This window comes from Homo sapiens, chromosome 13, assembly GCF_000001405.40.
Source record: "Homo sapiens chromosome 13, GRCh38.p14 Primary Assembly".
Taxonomy (NCBI): Eukaryota; Metazoa; Chordata; class Mammalia; order Primates; family Hominidae; genus Homo; species Homo sapiens.
In genome coordinates, this window is record NC_000013.11 from 25,371,244 (window position 1) to 25,388,303 (window position 17,060).

General features: G+C 45.3%; 1 protein-coding gene across 7 annotated transcripts in view; it reads left to right on the plus strand.

Annotated features, from left to right (window-relative positions):
- Positions 731-17,060, plus strand: part of ATP8A2 (ATPase phospholipid transporting 8A2) — a 653,878-nt gene continuing 637,548 nt past the window's right edge. For all 7 annotated transcript variants that reach the window (NM_016529.6, NM_001411005.1, NM_001411006.1 and 4 more), the window contains exon 1: positions 731-1,045. In NM_016529.6, coding sequence (NP_057613.4) covers positions 970-1,045 — 76 coding nt within the window. In that variant the 5' untranslated portion in view covers positions 731-969. The remainder of the gene's footprint in view (positions 1,046-17,060) is intronic.

Below are 17,060 nucleotides of genomic sequence, written 5' to 3' on the forward strand. Positions count from 1 at the left end.
CCCAGAAAGACCAAGCACAGTCTAAACATTACGCGATAAGAAAAAACAAAAAATAGATCAAGTGACCTTGGACAAGTCATCTTACCTCTCGATGGTTTTGTTTTATGAAAGAAGGTGTGTGTGTGTGTGTGTCGATGGGTGTGTGTGTGTGTGTGTCGATGGGTCTGTGTGTGTGTGTGTGTGTGTCGATGGGTGTGTGTGTGTGTGTGTGTGCGTGCGGGGGTTGAGAAGGTTGCTGTTAAGGTTCCCTAGGGCTACCTGCAGCTTTAATATGCGTAGTTAGAATGTCAGGCAGGTTGTGGAGAGTGGGGGGCTGGAGACCCCCGACTTCTCTGAGTGCCAAGCCACACATCAGACACCTTGGAAATAACCCTTCCACGAAGTCCCTACACAGATCCCACCAGGCTGGGCACGGAAGAACAGAAACTGCGAAAAGAAAGGGACTGGATGAGTCCTGGGGAATCACAGCGCCTCCACTTGCACAGGACAAGTGACAGGCAGGTAAATAGGTAGCAGACAGGCAGAGACTCCGAGTCCCCCAGGTGCACCCCTCTCCTGGAAGAGCCCCCGAAAGTACAGGCCCAATCTCCCACCCCACCAAGCCCTCCCCATCGCCTTCCCCGACACCTAAAAGCCCCGGTCCTGCGTAATATTGCGGATCCCTCCCAGCCTCCCGTCCGCTCCTCCTCCCGCGGGGCTCCGCTCAGGGCCGGTCCCCCGCCCCCACGCCGCAGCCCGGGCCAGCGGGGCCCGCCGCGGTGGCGTTCGCGGATGCTGCCGCATTGGCCGCTGCGGCACGGACGGCGCAGCCTCGGGCGCGGCCCGGCACAGGCGCCGGCGGTCCCCGCCAGCTAGCAGCCCGGCGAGGCGCTGGCCCACCCATGGTCCTCGGGCGGCGGCCCCTGCGCCCAGCCCTGCGCGTAGCCTCCGTCTCTCGCCCGGGGCCGCCGAGCCCCCGACACGGGCGAGATGCTGAACGGCGCAGGCCTGGACAAAGCTCTTAAGATGTCCCTGCCGCGGAGGTCGAGGATCCGCTCGTCCGTGGGTGAGCTGGGAGGGGCGCGGCGAGGGAGGGTGGGCCCGGGGCGGGGGCGGCGCGGGGCGCGCCTGCGGTTATGCGACACTGCCCCGCCCGCGCCCCGCTCCCCTCCCTGGGCTCCCTGGGCTCTCTGGGCTGCAGGATCCGCCGACGCGGCGCGCTGGCCGCACGGGGGCTGGGCGTCGCTGCACCTGCGGGGCCAAAAGGCTCCAGGCCGGGGCGAGGTGAGCGGCGGGCGTCAGAGACCCCCGGCTCGTCCCTGTACAGATGTGTGTGTGTGTGTGCGGCCTCCCTGTGCGCGTGCCCGTGCGCCCCTACGCGCGGATGCGGCTCAGGGATGCGACCTAGGCGGCAGTCACCGCGATGGTGGGCACGGTTTGGCGGCGCAGAGAAGATGCAGCCTTCCCTGCCGGCGGCCGGCACCGCTGTGCTGCAGAGCTCAAAAGCAGAGGGGGAAAAAGGCATCCGAAGGGTCCCTCGAGTGATTCTCACCACTTGGAGCCCCGGGTCCTCGCGCGCTCACAGCGGCGACGTACTGGCTCATAACCATCCGTGCATACAACCATCTGGAGACGAACACACACACGCACACGCGCGCGCACACACACACACAGGTACACACACACGTACACACGCACGCGTACACATACCCTGCCTGCAGGCGCCTGGGTGTTGGAACTCGAAACCTAAAGCCAAACACGCATGTACCATACCCGACCACTCACACTGTTAGAGGCCCGCGTTCTATGATTATAGAACACATTTAGAAACTATGATGTCGTGGAGCTGGATGTTATGTGGCTATGACACTTGATAGGGTTACCTAGACCATTAGTTAATGCAGACGTAAAGAGGAGCCCCAAAAATGATTTCTTACCGTTTCAGGACTGCGGCAAGTTTGCAGGTAGATCTTTGACATGAGGAAGGTAGAGGGTGTACAGTTTGGAGCTGGGGTCACTTGTCTTCGTGCTTTTTTATTTGTTTTGAGAAAATAGGCACATAAAAATAAGCGACTTTTGTATTTCTGTAGTTGAGTAACGTGAGAGGGAAGCAAGCTTATCAGGTAATTTAAGCCAATGTTTGTTAAACTTGGGTAAAGTCAGGACACTTTCACATTCATTTTGAGGAGAATCCCAGCCTGAAGGGGTCACGGGGTGCAGGGTCAAGACTAAATAGCAGGGAAGAGCTGTGGCAGAGAGACAGTGGGAGGGCGCAGTCATACAGGTGTGAGAATTTCCCAAGGTGGAGGCAGCCTGAGGAGACCTGGGGACACCCTCTGTACCTTTGCAGGTGGGGCCAAAGGCATTTGCTTATGATTTGGATGTGGGGCTTCAGTACAAGAAAAGAATCAAAGATGCCCCCAAGGGTTTTGGTCTGAGACACCGGAAGAATGCACCCCTTGCTGAGATGGGGAAACTGCGGAGGACCAGGGTTCTCTTTTGCGGTAAGGGAGGGTGTGAAGAATTTGGTCTGAAATGCCTACCATAGATCCAAGAGGAGATGATTAGTAGAGAGCTGGATTTATGAGTCTGGGGCTCCGGGGAGTGTGCAAGGCCAGACATAGAGATTCAAGAGTCGTCGGCAGGACCGGCTCCAAGAGTGTATGCCCTGCAGCTGCTCAGAGTCTGGCTCTTACAAGAGTCAGCACTTGCTTGGATGTTCTGCCCAGTGTTGCTGTCTTGAAAGTCTTAATTTTTGAACAAGGGGCCCACCTTTTCATTTTACACGGGCCCCTAAGAATTATGTGATCAGCTGTCAATGTGTACAGATGTGACTTAGAAAAGAGGGGTCCTTGGATAGAGTCCTGGGCACTCTAACATTTTGAGGTTAGGGAGATGAGGGTCAACAGAAGGGGCCTGAGAGGATGGCCAGGGAGGTCCCCGGAAACCCGGAGGGAGTGCTCTGAAACTCAGTGTGGAGATGTTCAGGAAGGGGTGGGGTGTACCTGTGCCCAGTGCTGCTGAGCTCAATAAAGATGAGGCTGGAGAACTGTCATGTAAGTGGAGGTCACTGGTGATCTTGAAAAGAGCTGTTAACATATCATTGTGGGGAAGAACGCCTAATAGAGCAGGTGTAAGAGTAACAGGACAGGAACTGGAAACAGCAAGTCCGGAAAACTCTTTTGAGTGAATATTGCAGAAAAGGCAGGGGGAGAAGCAGATCGAGTGGTAGCTGGAGGAAAATGTGAGTTCAAGAGAGGTCGCTTTGTTTTGAGACTGTTCTACAGTCTGACGGCATGAACATCAACGCAGGAAGCTTTTAGGGAGCAGGGGGGAAGGCAGTGATCTGAGAGTAACCGTGAGAAGCAGGGTCCTCCTGGCAGAGCAGTTAAGGCAAGAAGTTTCAGGAATAGTCAGAGGGGTCGGGTTGTGAGGGATCTTGCTGATGATAGGCTGAAAGTTCCAGGAGACAGAGTGGAGGCTCTGAGATGGGGCCTGTTTAGGGTATTTGCATAATGTATGGAGAAGAAAGAGGATCTGCATAGTGTGGGCTCCTGGGGACACTGATGGAAACAGGGGCAGAGGGCCTGACAATCGTGTACTCCCATAAAAATACTAAACAAAGATGTGTGATTTTTAGTGAAGTCTGCTACTTCTCATTATTAAAAAATAAACTAATGATGAAAGGATTGCAGATCACAGTCAGCTTCAAGAGTATATGCTGAGCTGTATACTATTTTTAAAAATAATTCTGGAATATTTTCTTGTCTGAGCCATCTTTGACTCTTATCTTGTTCTGCATATTCAATTGCACTTTGATCAGTTTTAGCTTTCCCCAAATATCTACTTGGTGCCAGTGTGTCTCATTTTACCAAATGATGAAAATCCAAAGATTTGTGACCATGGGGATCCTCTTGCCCGTATAGTGCTTACAGTCTGCTCAGGGTGGAGCCCCTTAGAATGGAAACAAAGTCAGTGACAAATATATATCAGTGCCTTCTATGTGCCCGGCATGGTTCTAGGTGCTAGAGACAGAGCAGGGAACACAGCAGTGTGTCTCACAGAGCTTATGGTCTAGGCAGTGACTACAGTGCACGTGGGAAGAGCTCTCAACTCTCTTCTCTCACCTTGACCCAGATGAGTAAGGAAATTAAGGGTGTACATGTGAATATGGGTGTTGGGGGTTGTGGGAGGGGAGGAGTGGGGACAGAAAGGAAGGAAGTTGTTTTCTATGGACGACAGCATCAGTGCTGTCTATGGCAGAAGCTCTTCCCTATCTTACCGCATTTCTGGACTTAGTGAAAGAACGGGCAGGCAGGAAGTGCACAGACCAAGTGCAGAACCCAGAGGACTACAAATATTCTTTTTTTTTTTTTATTTTGAGCCTGTCGTCAGGCTGGAGTGCAGTGGTGTGATCTCGGCTCACTGCAACCTCCGCCTCCCGGGTTCAAGCAATTCTGCTGCCTCAGCCTCCCAAGTAGCTGGGATTATAGGCTCCCACCACCACACTCAGCTAATTTTTGTATTTTTAGTAGATACGGGGTTTCACCATGTTGGCCAGGATTGTCTCGATCTCTTAACCTCGTGATCCACCCACCTCGACCTCCCTAAGTGCTGGGATTACAGGCGTGAGCCACCGTTTGGACCAGGACTACAAACCTTCTAGAAACTGCCCCTGGAGCCCTCCTCTAAATTCCACACCCAACTCACCCTGCCCTCTGCTGGTCATCAAAGGTATTTTTTAATGTGTGTTTTCTGTTTTTGCCAGAACAACCTGCCCCAAGTTTCAAGGAGGAGAATCAGGGCAGCTGAAAATACAAGCCGTGCTAATGTGAGAATGTAATAGCTGGAGGATATCTCAGAGATGGTCTGATCCCTTCACTTTACAAATGAAAAAAAAATTCGGAGAAATTCCTTACTTGCTGCTTAATTTCTGTCAGGACAAGCTAATTAGCAAGTCCAGTGTGGTTCTTATCATTGCCCACCTGCCTAGTTCAATATCAGATCTAAATGCAACAGAATACGCTCATTGATTCTATATGGTTTTCTCTTCCTTGATAAGAAATAAAGATAATAATCTAATTTCTCCTGCTTCCATTTCCTATACTACCCTTTGTGTGCTCAGTAATTACAGATTTTACTGAACTCTGTCATGGGCAGTTTTTGGACTTGGTCTAATGGTCTAGATTCTGTTTGGAAGTTTCTTAAGGGCAGTATATCTAGGGGTTAAAACCCCAGAATTTAGGGTTAAAGAGAATTGAATTCAGGTTTTAACACTGTCATTTCTACCTATATGGCATTCAAAAGATTCATTTACCTCTGTTACAGATAAAGATAAAAATAAGAATTTGCACTTCATGGGTGGTTGGTAGTGGTCTGTGGGTATGTGCATATAAGTGCATGCACTAACTGACACATTATCAAGATGATATCGACAACATGTTAGATTTCTCCCATGCTGCCCATCGTCATCTAAGGCAAAGTCCTCCAGCTAGGTATTTATCCTATGTAATAGAAGAATTGGCAAAACTTTTGTTATTATTTTCCTTTCTAAATCTAATGATGGAGGCCTAACTAGGAGAGGACCTCATAGTCATCACAGGAGAATTTAAATGTTCTTTTACTGTCATTATCCAGGTGTAAATGATTGCAGAAATAAGCGCTTACTCACCAGGAGCTCTGATTCTGGACAGAGTGTTCATCCTGTAGTGGCTCTGAAGGTCATCACCTTCTGTTGAAAGAAGTCCTGACTACAAGGCCGTCTTCTACCCCACAGGTGGCCAATAAGCACCTCTGCGGACGCCTTCCGTTGTCCAGTAATTGATTTTACATTTACAACGGATGTGTTATCTTAAACCCTCCTCAGAGGTGCCAGCTAGACAAATGGAATATTTTACAGTTATTTTCGAAAAAGTTTTTAAGCATTTATGAGACGAAGTGTATACAGTGCCTCTAAAGAAGGGTCTCTATTCTTCCTCCTTGGATCTTTACATTTACTAAATATAACTTCTGGTCAATACCACACTGGATACAAGATGTTATTTACATCCACTTAGGCTGGGAAAAGTGCTCAGCACAAATGTTAACAACCATTAAGAAGGGCTAAAAATAAAAGTGATCTCACTTCCATGCCTTGGGAGTTTCTCCCCATCATTATCAAGGGCAAACACAGAAACAGGACCTACTCCAGGACAGGAGAGAGCCCTTCCAGGAATAGAGTAAGGAGTGGGGACCTGTCACACCCCAGTGGCTGCCTGGGTCTGCCTGCATAGATCTGTCGTAAAAGTACCTGGATGGCTGGGCACAGTGGCTCATGTCTGCAATCCCAGTACTTTGGGAGGCCGAGACGGGTGGATCATATGAGGTCAGGAGTTCAAGACCAGCCTGGCCAACATAGTGAAACCCTAAAAGTACAAAAATTAGCCAAGTGGTAATGGTGCGTGCCTGTAATCCCTGTAACTCGGCAGGCTGAGGCAGGAGAATGACTTGAGTCTGTGAGGTGGAGGTTGTGGTGAGCCAAGATTGCACCATTGCACTCCAGTCTGGGCAACAGGGTGAGACTCTCTCTCTAACAAAACAAAACAAAGCAAAACAAAACAAAACAGTACTTGAATGGCCAAGCCTGTTGGCTCACGTGTGTAATCTCAGCACTTTGGGAGGCCCAGGTGGGAGGTTCACTTGAGGCCAGGAGTTCGAGACCAGCCTGTACAACATAGTGAGACCCCATCTCTACAAAAAAATTATAAATAGCCAGGCATTGTGGCACATGCCTGTAGTCCCAGCTACTTGAGAGGCTGAGGCAGAAGGATTGCTTGAGCCCAGGAATTTGAGGCTGCAATGAGCTACTGCACCAGTGCATTCCAGCCTGGACAACAGAGCGAGACCCTTCCTCTAAAGAAAAAAAAAAAGAGCACATGAATGATGCTGGTCACTCCCCAGCTGTGGTGGGGGAGGGTTACTGGGCCCAATATTACCATAGATACATGTGTGCTTGTTTATGTGAATAGGTCTCTTGCTCTGACGGTTCATTTCTTCCCTCCCTTACTGCCCCTGTAAAGCTTATCATATAATATTTCATGCTAAAAAGTGATCTAATCCTCATTAACTCTGTTTTTTTTCCAGAGTTTTGCATTTTTTTTTTTGTAATCATTAGTTTATAAATACTGCCCATTTTGCTTTCCATCACAATCATTCCCAGGTGAGTGTAGAAAAAGCTGCATTCAGGAATATGGTAAAATATTGCAGGAAGATTTATGCCATTTTGATTGGTTTGTTTCAGGTTGCCTGAATTTTTAATACCCCTTTCTTGTCACAGAGAAGAGAACTTTGTTATTTTTGGCTTTCACTGGAGTTCTCACTTCAGAGTTGGTTAGTATGAGTTTCTGCTTTCCAAGCTGACATGTTTTTTTCTTTTTAGCATCTGTTCCATATACAGGGTGAATAGCTACAGGGTTCCAAAACTGCGAGTGAAGCACCTCCTCCACATATTCCTCACTAGCCTGCATAACTGACAGCACTTGGCTGTCTCCGGCCCTGCTGTCCTAGCTACTCTGCAGCTCTGCCCACCTGATACTGCGCCACTGATGGCAGGCAGTGCTGTTGGGAAGAGAGCAAAGGAAGTGAGTCTGGTGCTGTGAGAACAAAGATAATAAAGGTAATTACTAATATGCCTTTAGTGTTTTTCGCATATTTTTCTTACGGATCCTCACACCATCCCTCTGAGAAATATATTATTATTGCCTCCCATTTAAAAATTCTATATGCATATTTGTATACTTTTCTTTTTAAATAAAGGCAGGAGAGAAGAAATACTCCAGATAGGAGAAATATTCTTTTCTTTTCTCCTCTTTTGCAGAGAATGTTAAGGCAGGCTCCTTAATTTTGATTCAGAGGTTTTGCATTCAGAAGTAAGTGTTCCTGTCTTGTGTAATCTTTTGCCAAATCATCAGCAATGTACATTTCACACATTGCAGGGAAGCATTTGGGTGCTCCTCCTCCCTTTTCTATCTCTAGAGATACTGTGTAAGCCAAATGCAGCACCGAGGATCCCAGGATTACTGTAAATATTTTAAGCACATTATGGAGACTGATTATATAGGAAACTGGGGTAAGCAAACTACTCCATGGAGTGAGTGAGTACTTCTCTATACTGACATTTGGAATCTCATTCCAGATATTTAGTTCAAAGACAGTTGCTTTTTTCACGGTCATGATATGTTAATATCGGGGAGCAGTTCATTCATATTCAAAGGAGAGAACAGTGGCCTGGCTGATAATATATTTGGTTACTGCACCATGGGATCAGGCCTCTTATCAGCTATTTTTAGTCACATAATGATTATCCTTGTTTAAGTCTCTTCCATTTTCTTTTTGTTGTCTTTATTCTAATGCATTGAGGAAACATAACATTGGTTTTAAAACTGCAGAATTTTTGTTTTTAACCCTCAGTAGTTACTGTATATGTAGCAAACTAAGTGGTCTTCTGGGACTCGGCGGAGCGGGCCCTGCTAAGCGTGTAAGATAGTGTGCCGTTTCTGCTACGTCCCCTGCCCCAGCGTGCCGTGTCCCCAGGTTACTCTGCTGTCCATTTGTGCTGGAGAGAATAATAGAAATAAACAGTCTTTCTGGGTCCACTCTAAGTTCATTTTCCTGTTGCCCCTTCCTGAAGCTTGGAAATACATTTATTCAACTCGATTGAACTCTTCTACTGTCTGATTTTCTGGTGTTAGAGTTTGGGCAAATTTTCTGGAAGGGAAGACACCAGCGTGGGCAGGCAACTGAGAAGGGTTCTCGGGTAAGAATAAACTGGGCTGGATGCAAACACAGCGATGAGTGAAGATTGTAAATGAAATGCACAGTTAGGGGCTGTTGTAATACTCCAGGTGTAAAATAATGAGGCCTGAACCCATGCAGCATCAGAGAGACGTGCAAGTCATGATGGAAAACAGCTGGGTTGCAATCAAGCCATACAAATGGAAACCAGGGAGATGAGAGATGAGGGAGGAGCTCTCCCTGGTCTTGGGCAAGTAGAATTGTTGAGCTTGTAGCTTGCTTGTCTAATATTTGTCCTTTAGAGAGCCCAAGATACTTTGTACAGAGTAGGCAATACTTTGTAGAGTCAGATTATTGAAGTTGAAGGTGACTTTACAGATCTTTGCCGCGCAGTAGAGTGGCCACTAGCTGCATGTGGCTGAAGAAATGGTGAGTCATGGTTGAGCTGGGCTGTAACGGCAAAATGTGCACTGGATTTCTGAGACTTAGTATGAAAAAGGAAAATAAAACAGTTCATTCATAATGTTTTCTGTTTATTATATATCGAAATAATATTTTGGATATGTGAGATTAAATAAAATATATTATTAAAATTATTTTATGTATCTCTTTGTACTTTTTTAGTGCAGCTGCTAGAAAGTTTAAAATTGTATATGTGGTCTGCATTATATTTCTATTGGTGAACAAATTATAGATCATCTAGTCCAAATATTTTAATTGATTATTTATGGAATTGCAGACTTGCAGAAATAAAATTATCTGACGGTCAACACCCCCATTGCTACACAGGGAAACCAAGGTCATGAAAGGTGAAGTTCCAGGGACTTGTCTGGTCTTCCAAGGGTAGTACCAGTGTGAAAGAACTAAAGCCACGTCTTTGGATTCCCCAAGTATTAAAAAAAATTTGTTTTTCTTCCCTGCCCCCTCCCTCCAGCATTTTTTTCAGGGTTATTTATCTTCCTCTTGAGTCAGTATCTCCCTCGGGCACACTCTAAGATATCCACCTTCAGTTAATTTTGAAAATGAACTGGGTCATGGCACTAGGAAATACCATTATATTTCTTTGAACCTAATCTCTAATAGAATCTGGTTGCTTGCGTCTTTTAGTATGGTCTGATATTATCAGTCAGTATTTATGGAGAGGATCTTCAACACACTCACGATTTATGATTAATCTCACTTTTGACTGCATGATAAATCTTAGTGTCCTACACAACAACCTTCTTGAAGACCAGTGGGCGTCTCAGCAGCAATGTTTTTCTTCTCAGAGACCGGTCATTGATGGGAGTTGAGCACCTTTTAAAGCAATACATTTAAAAATGTGTTCCTGCTACTGCACATTTTCTCCATAACATATTACTTTCTCAAATAAGCATGTTGGAAAAATGGAGGAAGTAAATACAAAAGAGAAGAAGTCTGAATAGATAATGTTCAAATACCATTAGGTTGTGAGTGGCTCTGAGTCCTGCTAGGAAGACAAAGGTAGGTTTTATTACCAGGGGATGCTGCTGGACTTTTAAAATTGTTCAAGACTTTGAGTTTTTAGGCATTTCTTTTAAACTACATTGATGAAATTATGGACTGTGATAATAAACACAGTGATGGCAACCAAGATGATACTATGTGATGATTAGTTGTCTGATAACTTGTATCAGTGTGTGGTTACTTTGATTTCACTCATAATTTGTGAGTCCATATGATGAGAGCTGTGTTGTCTGCAGTCTGTGATATTTTTCAGTGGAGATCTTGGCCTTCTACGCGTGGGTATAGAGTGTGGCTGAAGAGCCCCAGGGTAGGAGAGCTAGTCCAGAGTTCTGAGACCACCCGCCAGGCTCTTCTACGCAGGATGATATGTTGACAAGATATTACAGGGCAATGTCGGCAGTGTTGTGCAGAGGAAGTGGGGATGCCGTCTGTGTAAACATTGTGATGATGTCTGTGTTAACACTATGAATTCAGCACCATAGCGTCACACCATGATGTCACACTGTGTCACACCGTGACAATGTATAATGGCATGTATCCCCCAATGTGGTATCATACAGAAGAGTTTCACTGCCCTAAAAATCCCCTGTGCTCCAGCTGTTCATCCCATCCTTCCTCTCTAACCTCCGGCAACCACTGATCTTTTTACTGTCTCCATAGTTACAGTTTTGCTCTTTACACAATGTCATGTAGTTAGCATCATATAGCATGAAGCCTTTTCAGATTGGCTTCTTTTACTTAGCAATATGCATTTAACATTCCCCCATGTCATTTCATGGCTTGATAGCTCATTTCTTTTTATCCTTGAATAATACTCCATTGCCTATCTGTACCACAGTGTATCAATTCACCTACTGAAGAACATCTTGGGTGCTTTCACTTTTTTGAAATTATAAATAAAGCTGCTATAAATACTTCTGTGCAGGTTTTTGTGTGGACATAAGTTTTCACGTCTTTTGGGAAAATTCCAAGGAGTGTGATTGCTGGTTTGTATGCTAAGAGTATGTTTAGTTTTGGAAGAAATTGCCAGATTGTCTTCCAAAGTGGCTGTACCATTTTGCATCCCCACCAGCAATGAATGAGAGTTCCTATTGCTCCATATCCTCACCAGCATTTGGTGCTTTCAGTGTTTTGAATTTTAGCCATTTGATAGATGTGTAGTGGTGTCTCGTTATTTAAATTTGTGATTTTCTCATGACATATGACGTTGAGAATCTTTCCATATGTAATTGCCATCTGTATATCTTCTTTGGTGAAACATCTGTTTAGATCTTTTGTCCTTTTTTTTTTTTTTGAGACAGAGTCTCGCTGTGTCGCCCAGGCTGGAGTGCAGTGGCACGATCTCAGCTCACTGCAAGCTCCGCCTCCCGGGTTCACGCCATTCTCCTGCCTCAGCCTCCCGAGTAGCTGGGACTACAGGTGCCCGCCACCATGCCCAGCTAATTTTTTGTATTTTTAGTGGAGACGGGGTTTCATCATGTTAGCCAGGATGGTCTCCATCTCCTGACTTCGTGATCTGCCCACCTTGGCCTCCCAAAGTGCTGGGATTACAGGTGTGAGCCACCACACCCAGCCTTTTCTTTTTGAGACAGAGTCTTGCTTTGTTGCCAGGCTGGAGCTCAGTGGCACGATCTCAGCTCACTACAACCTCCTCCTCCCGGGTTCAAGAGATTCTCCTGCCTCAGCCTCCCAAGTAGCTGGGACTACAGGCGTGCACCACCATGCCCAGCTAATATTTGTATTTTTAGTAGAGACGGGGTTTCACCATGTTGGCCAGGATGGTCTCAATCTCCATTTGTATTTTTAGTAGAGACGGCGTTTCACCATGTTGGCCAGGATGGTCTCAATCTCCTGACCTTGTGATCCACCCACCTCAGCCTCCCAAAGTGCTGGGATTACAGGCGTGTGCCTTTTGTCCATCTTTTAATTGGGTTGTTTGTTTTCCTAGTTTTGAGTTTGAAGAGTTCTTTGTATATTTTGGATGCCAGTCCTTTATAAAAAAATCAGAAACATGTTTTCCAAATATCCTCTCCCAGTCCATGGCTTGTCTTTCATTCTCTTAACAGTGTCTTTTGCAGGGTGAAGTTTTAACTTTAGCGAAATCCAACTTATCAATATGTTCTTTCATGAATTATACTTCTGGCGTTTCAAGGTATTTTGATAGTATTTTTGCTTACCTTTTTGAAATTATACATTTAAATTTATTCTTTTAGAGGGTATACTTATATTATGAATATAGTATTTACTTACTTTGTCCCTAACAATGGCTAGAGTTTATTAGTATATATATCCTTTTCTTCTCCATAGTGACCCTCTCCAAACAAAAAGAAGGCAAAAACCTTGGCACAGTTTTACTCCCTACCCCTGACTCTCCCCTACTTTCTCCCTTGTCACAGTCATCTGAGTTGGTTCCAGAGAGTAATTATTTTTCTCTGGATAACAGGTATGTGTGACTTTCTTTACTCAGCTGTGCTTCCTTGGGTTTTATTCCCGTTGCTAGAGTAGATCCCTGGGGATCTTTTAGGGAGCATCTGTGAGTGGCCATCTGTCTTATTTTTTTCATGTCCCTAAAAACGCTTTCATGTCATCTTCACAAGTAAGTGACAGTTTTGCTGTCTAAGGAATTCTAGATTCAAAATTCTTTTTCTCTGGCACCCTGCTTTATTATCTTACTCCTACCCAGATTTGCTGATGAGCATAGACATCAGTCTGGTTCTTGTTCCTTTGCAGCTTAGCTATTTTTTTAGTTTTGATTAGTTTTTAATGATATATCTATCTTTGATGTTCTGAAATTTCAATACGATGGTTTAAGTATTCCTTTTATTCCATTTGTTGTCTGGTCAACACTGGAAAGATCTTGCAATCTGACACTGGGTCTTTCTTTTTTGGGGAGAAGTCCTCTTGTCTCATGTCTTCAAGTGTGGCCTTCCATGCATTCTCCCTTTTCTGGTGGCAACTCTAGAATTAGACTGCTCTTGCCACTTCTGTCTTTGCTCCCAGCTTTCTTAATTTTCCTTAAATCTCTTTGTGCCCCATTTTTGAAGAATTCTTGTCTTTGTCTTCGTGTTTGGTAATTCGCTCTTCAGCTTTGTTTTGCGTTGTTTTGTTTTTATCCTTTCCAGTTCATAGTATCTATCAAGTTTTTATTTCAACAATTATTTTTTTTCTTGGAAAGATCTCTAACTGACTCTTTTTTCATAACAGCCTAGTATTGCTTCATGTATTGAATATGCACCCATTTCCTGGAGGTTCTGAATTACACTTATTTAAAAATCTTTTTCTGATTGTTTTGTTATTTAAGTTCTGTTTGCCTCCTCTTTTTCTTGGTGTTCATGAATCTTAAATGTCTTATGATTCCAGAACCCCCATCCCAGTTTTTTGGCAGTCGGGAGTCCCAGGAGGAGGCAGTGAAAAGCTGCAGGGCTGTGTGACACTGCCTTGAGCAAGTGCAGGGATGGGTGGGACATGCCCCGGGTTGGGCTGCACCAGTGGCTGCTTTGCTGAGCTATATTGCTCAATGTTTCTTCCACATAAGCAGCTCCATGTTCCATAAACAGTGGGGAAGCCGTCTCCAAAGGGCTTTAGTTAGTCTTTTGATTTTCAGAGGGCCAGTGTTTTAGTGGTTTAACCCTTAACCCAGTGTCTTTAGGGACCACATTAGCCATGCAAGGAGTTTATATTGCTCTTTCCTTTCTTTTGCTGAAATGCCTGCATGCTGGTGGAGGAGGGAAGCCAACTGAGCTGTGCTATTTCATGTGACTTGTGCTGCAGTTTATGCTGAATTCAGCCCTTTGTTTAGGCAAGGTTATAGTCCAGATGAGTCCAGTCAGACCTGCTTTTACATTTTGATCCTGGCACTTACTAGCTGGGTATCTTTGGGGAAGTTACCTAATTCGCTCAGCCTCACTTTCCTCCTCTATAAAATGTCAGTAGTAATACCTCCTTCACTGAATTACTGAGACTTAAACAAGATAACATATATAAAGCACTTCACACTATCTGAAACTTAATAAGTATTACCTATTCATATAAAATTAATAATTAAAAAAGACATTGTTATTATTTTTAGAATAATATACCAGGGGCATAGAGAGCTGAACCTCTTCCATTTTATTTTGTCTATAACTGGATTGGTAACTTCTCTTCATATAATTCGAATTTCATGTGGATACAATGCCTTTGGACAGTTTAATGATCCCCCTGGTGGGCTTAAGTTTTTTTGTTTTTATTTGAGATGAAGTCTTGCTCTGTTTCCAGGCTGGAGTGCAGTGGTGCAATCAGGGCTCACTGCAGCCTTGACATCCCAGGCTCAAGCAATCCTCTCACCTTAGCCTCCTGAGTAGCTGGGACTACAGGTACACACCACTATGCCCAGCTAATTTTTAAAATTTTTGGTAGAGATGAGGTCTCCCTGTGTTGCCCAGACTTGGGCTTAAATTTTTTTTTTTTTTTTGTAGACAATTTGCTCTGTTGCCCAGGCTGGAGTGCAGTGGTTCGACCTTAGCGGTACACTGCAACCTCTGCCTCCTGGGTTCTAGCGATTCTCCTGCCTCAGGCTCCCAAGTAGCTGGGATTACAGGCATAAGCCACCACACCTGGCTAATTTTTGTATTTTTAGTAGAGATGGGGTTTCACCATGTTGGCCAGGCTGGTCTCGAACTCCTGGCCTTAAGTAATCCACCCACCTCAGCCTCCCAAAGTGCTGGGATTACAGGTGTGAGCCACCTCTCCTGGCCGGGCTTAATTTTCAAAGAGCATTATAAAAGTCTGCTCACATCGGTGAGTGCATGGGAGAATTCAGTTGTTCCCGAGAAACAAAACCAGTTTTCTTTGTGATGATGGTGCTTCGTTAAACTTAGAGGAACTCAGTCATTATGTAGAGTCCGATTAACCAACCTCTCCACCCCTACCCTGGTCACTGATGGGAATATCGAGGCAGGCTGAGGTGGCACCCATTCAAACTTGTACTTCAGCAAACTATGCTAAGCCATGTGGTAGTCTGAAGATTAATAGTGATGAATGGTTCTTCCCTTGGAATCCAAATAGCCATTTCCTCTTCTCTCTAAGAATGAAAGCTATGACCCCCACATTAATTCCAGATTCTGAAACAATTTATTGGTGGCGTTTTTTTCTCTGCCTTGATTTCCCTACAGAACACATCTTCTGGGGACCTCTTGTCAGTGGATCCTGTCAATACAGGATTCTTGGTGTTCAACTACTTATTAAAAAAACACAGGCCGGGCACGGAGGCTCACGCCTGTAATCCCAGCACCTCTGGGAGGCTGAGGCGGGCGGATCACAAGGTCAGGAGATCGAGACCAATCTGGCTAACACGGTGAAACCCCGTCTCTACTAAAAATACAAAAAAGTAGCCGGGCGTGGTGGCGGGCACCTGTAGTCCCAGCTACTTGGGAGGCTGAAGCAGGAGAATGGCGGGAACCCGGGAGGCGGAGCTTGCAGTGAGCCGAGATCGCGCCCTTGCACTCCAGCCTGGGCGTCAGAGCGAGACTCCATCTCAAAAAAAACAGAACAAAACAAAACAAAAAACAGGATTCAGTCACTTCTCTCTGGACTTTTCTGAAGATAATTTTCCCACTTCCTTAGCCTTGTTAATATAGAGAACTGGCTCATTCCGTGCTTGGGACTAAGACAGTGAATAACCGGAGAAACATTGCCGAGGTGATTCTGCCTAGAAAGCAATCAAGGATTTCCAGGGCAGCGGTGAGCAGCCATGAGCCTCAAGCTGGATGCTTTAGCAGGAGTTTAAATAGCACAAATGGGTCTGTGCTGCAGGGTCTAAATGGACCTGTCTTTTCCAGACCTGAAACTTTTCTTTCTGCGTGTTTGTACACATTCATCTCTACGCACTCGCTTCTGCTTTTGTGGGTCACTTTGAGGTGGTCTCAGTCCTAGTCACGTCCTAGGTTATTGTAGCACATTCTAACTATTTCGGGTGTTGGGCTGAGCTCTTGGTGGGGTTCACCTGCTAGAGCCTGGGTTTAATGGTGGTCCACTTCTGTCGTTGGGATGTGCACAGCTTCACTGCCTTAGTGACCTCACCCGTCGCTAAAATGGGCATAAACGACAAACCCATTTATCAACTTACTTCGAGGCGCACGTAGAGAAATAGGAGAACAATTGGAGTGACTGGAACATTATTTAGAGCTGTAATTTTCTAAAACTTGAATAATTTTAGAATTTTCAGAGTTTTTGATAGGTCTTTAAACTTAAAAGTTTAAAGATAGGGGTTTCGTTCTTTAATCTGCAAATGTTTCTATATACTGATTAAAATCTCTTTACTAGGCCTGGCGTGGTGGCTCATGCCTGTAATCCCAGCACTTTGGGAGGGCAGGGTAGGTGGATCACCTGAGGTCAGGAGTTTGAGACCAGCCTGGACAACATGGTGAAACCCTGTCTCTACTAAAAATATAAAATTAGCCAGGTGTGGTGGCACATGCCTGGAATCCCAGCTACTCAGGAGGCTGAGGCAGGAGATTCACTTGAGCCTGGGAGGCAGAGGCTGTGGTGAGCCAAGATTGCACCACTGCACTCCAGCCTGGGCAACAGAGTGAGACTCCATCTCAAAAAAAAAAAAAATCTCTTTACTAGTGTTTTCAGTTATTTTTATGGTGAGGGCTGTTTTGGTTGAGATATTGTTGTGTTACCTTATTTAGTGTCAGAATTAAGAAAGGAAGGGAGGGAAGGAGAGAAAGAAGGAGGAAGGAAAGAAGGAAGGAAGGGATAAAGGAAGTGAAAAGAAGAAAGCTGGCTCCTGGGGGAGAAGTCAAGGACACTTCAGCACAGTTCCCAGTTCCTGTGGTCAG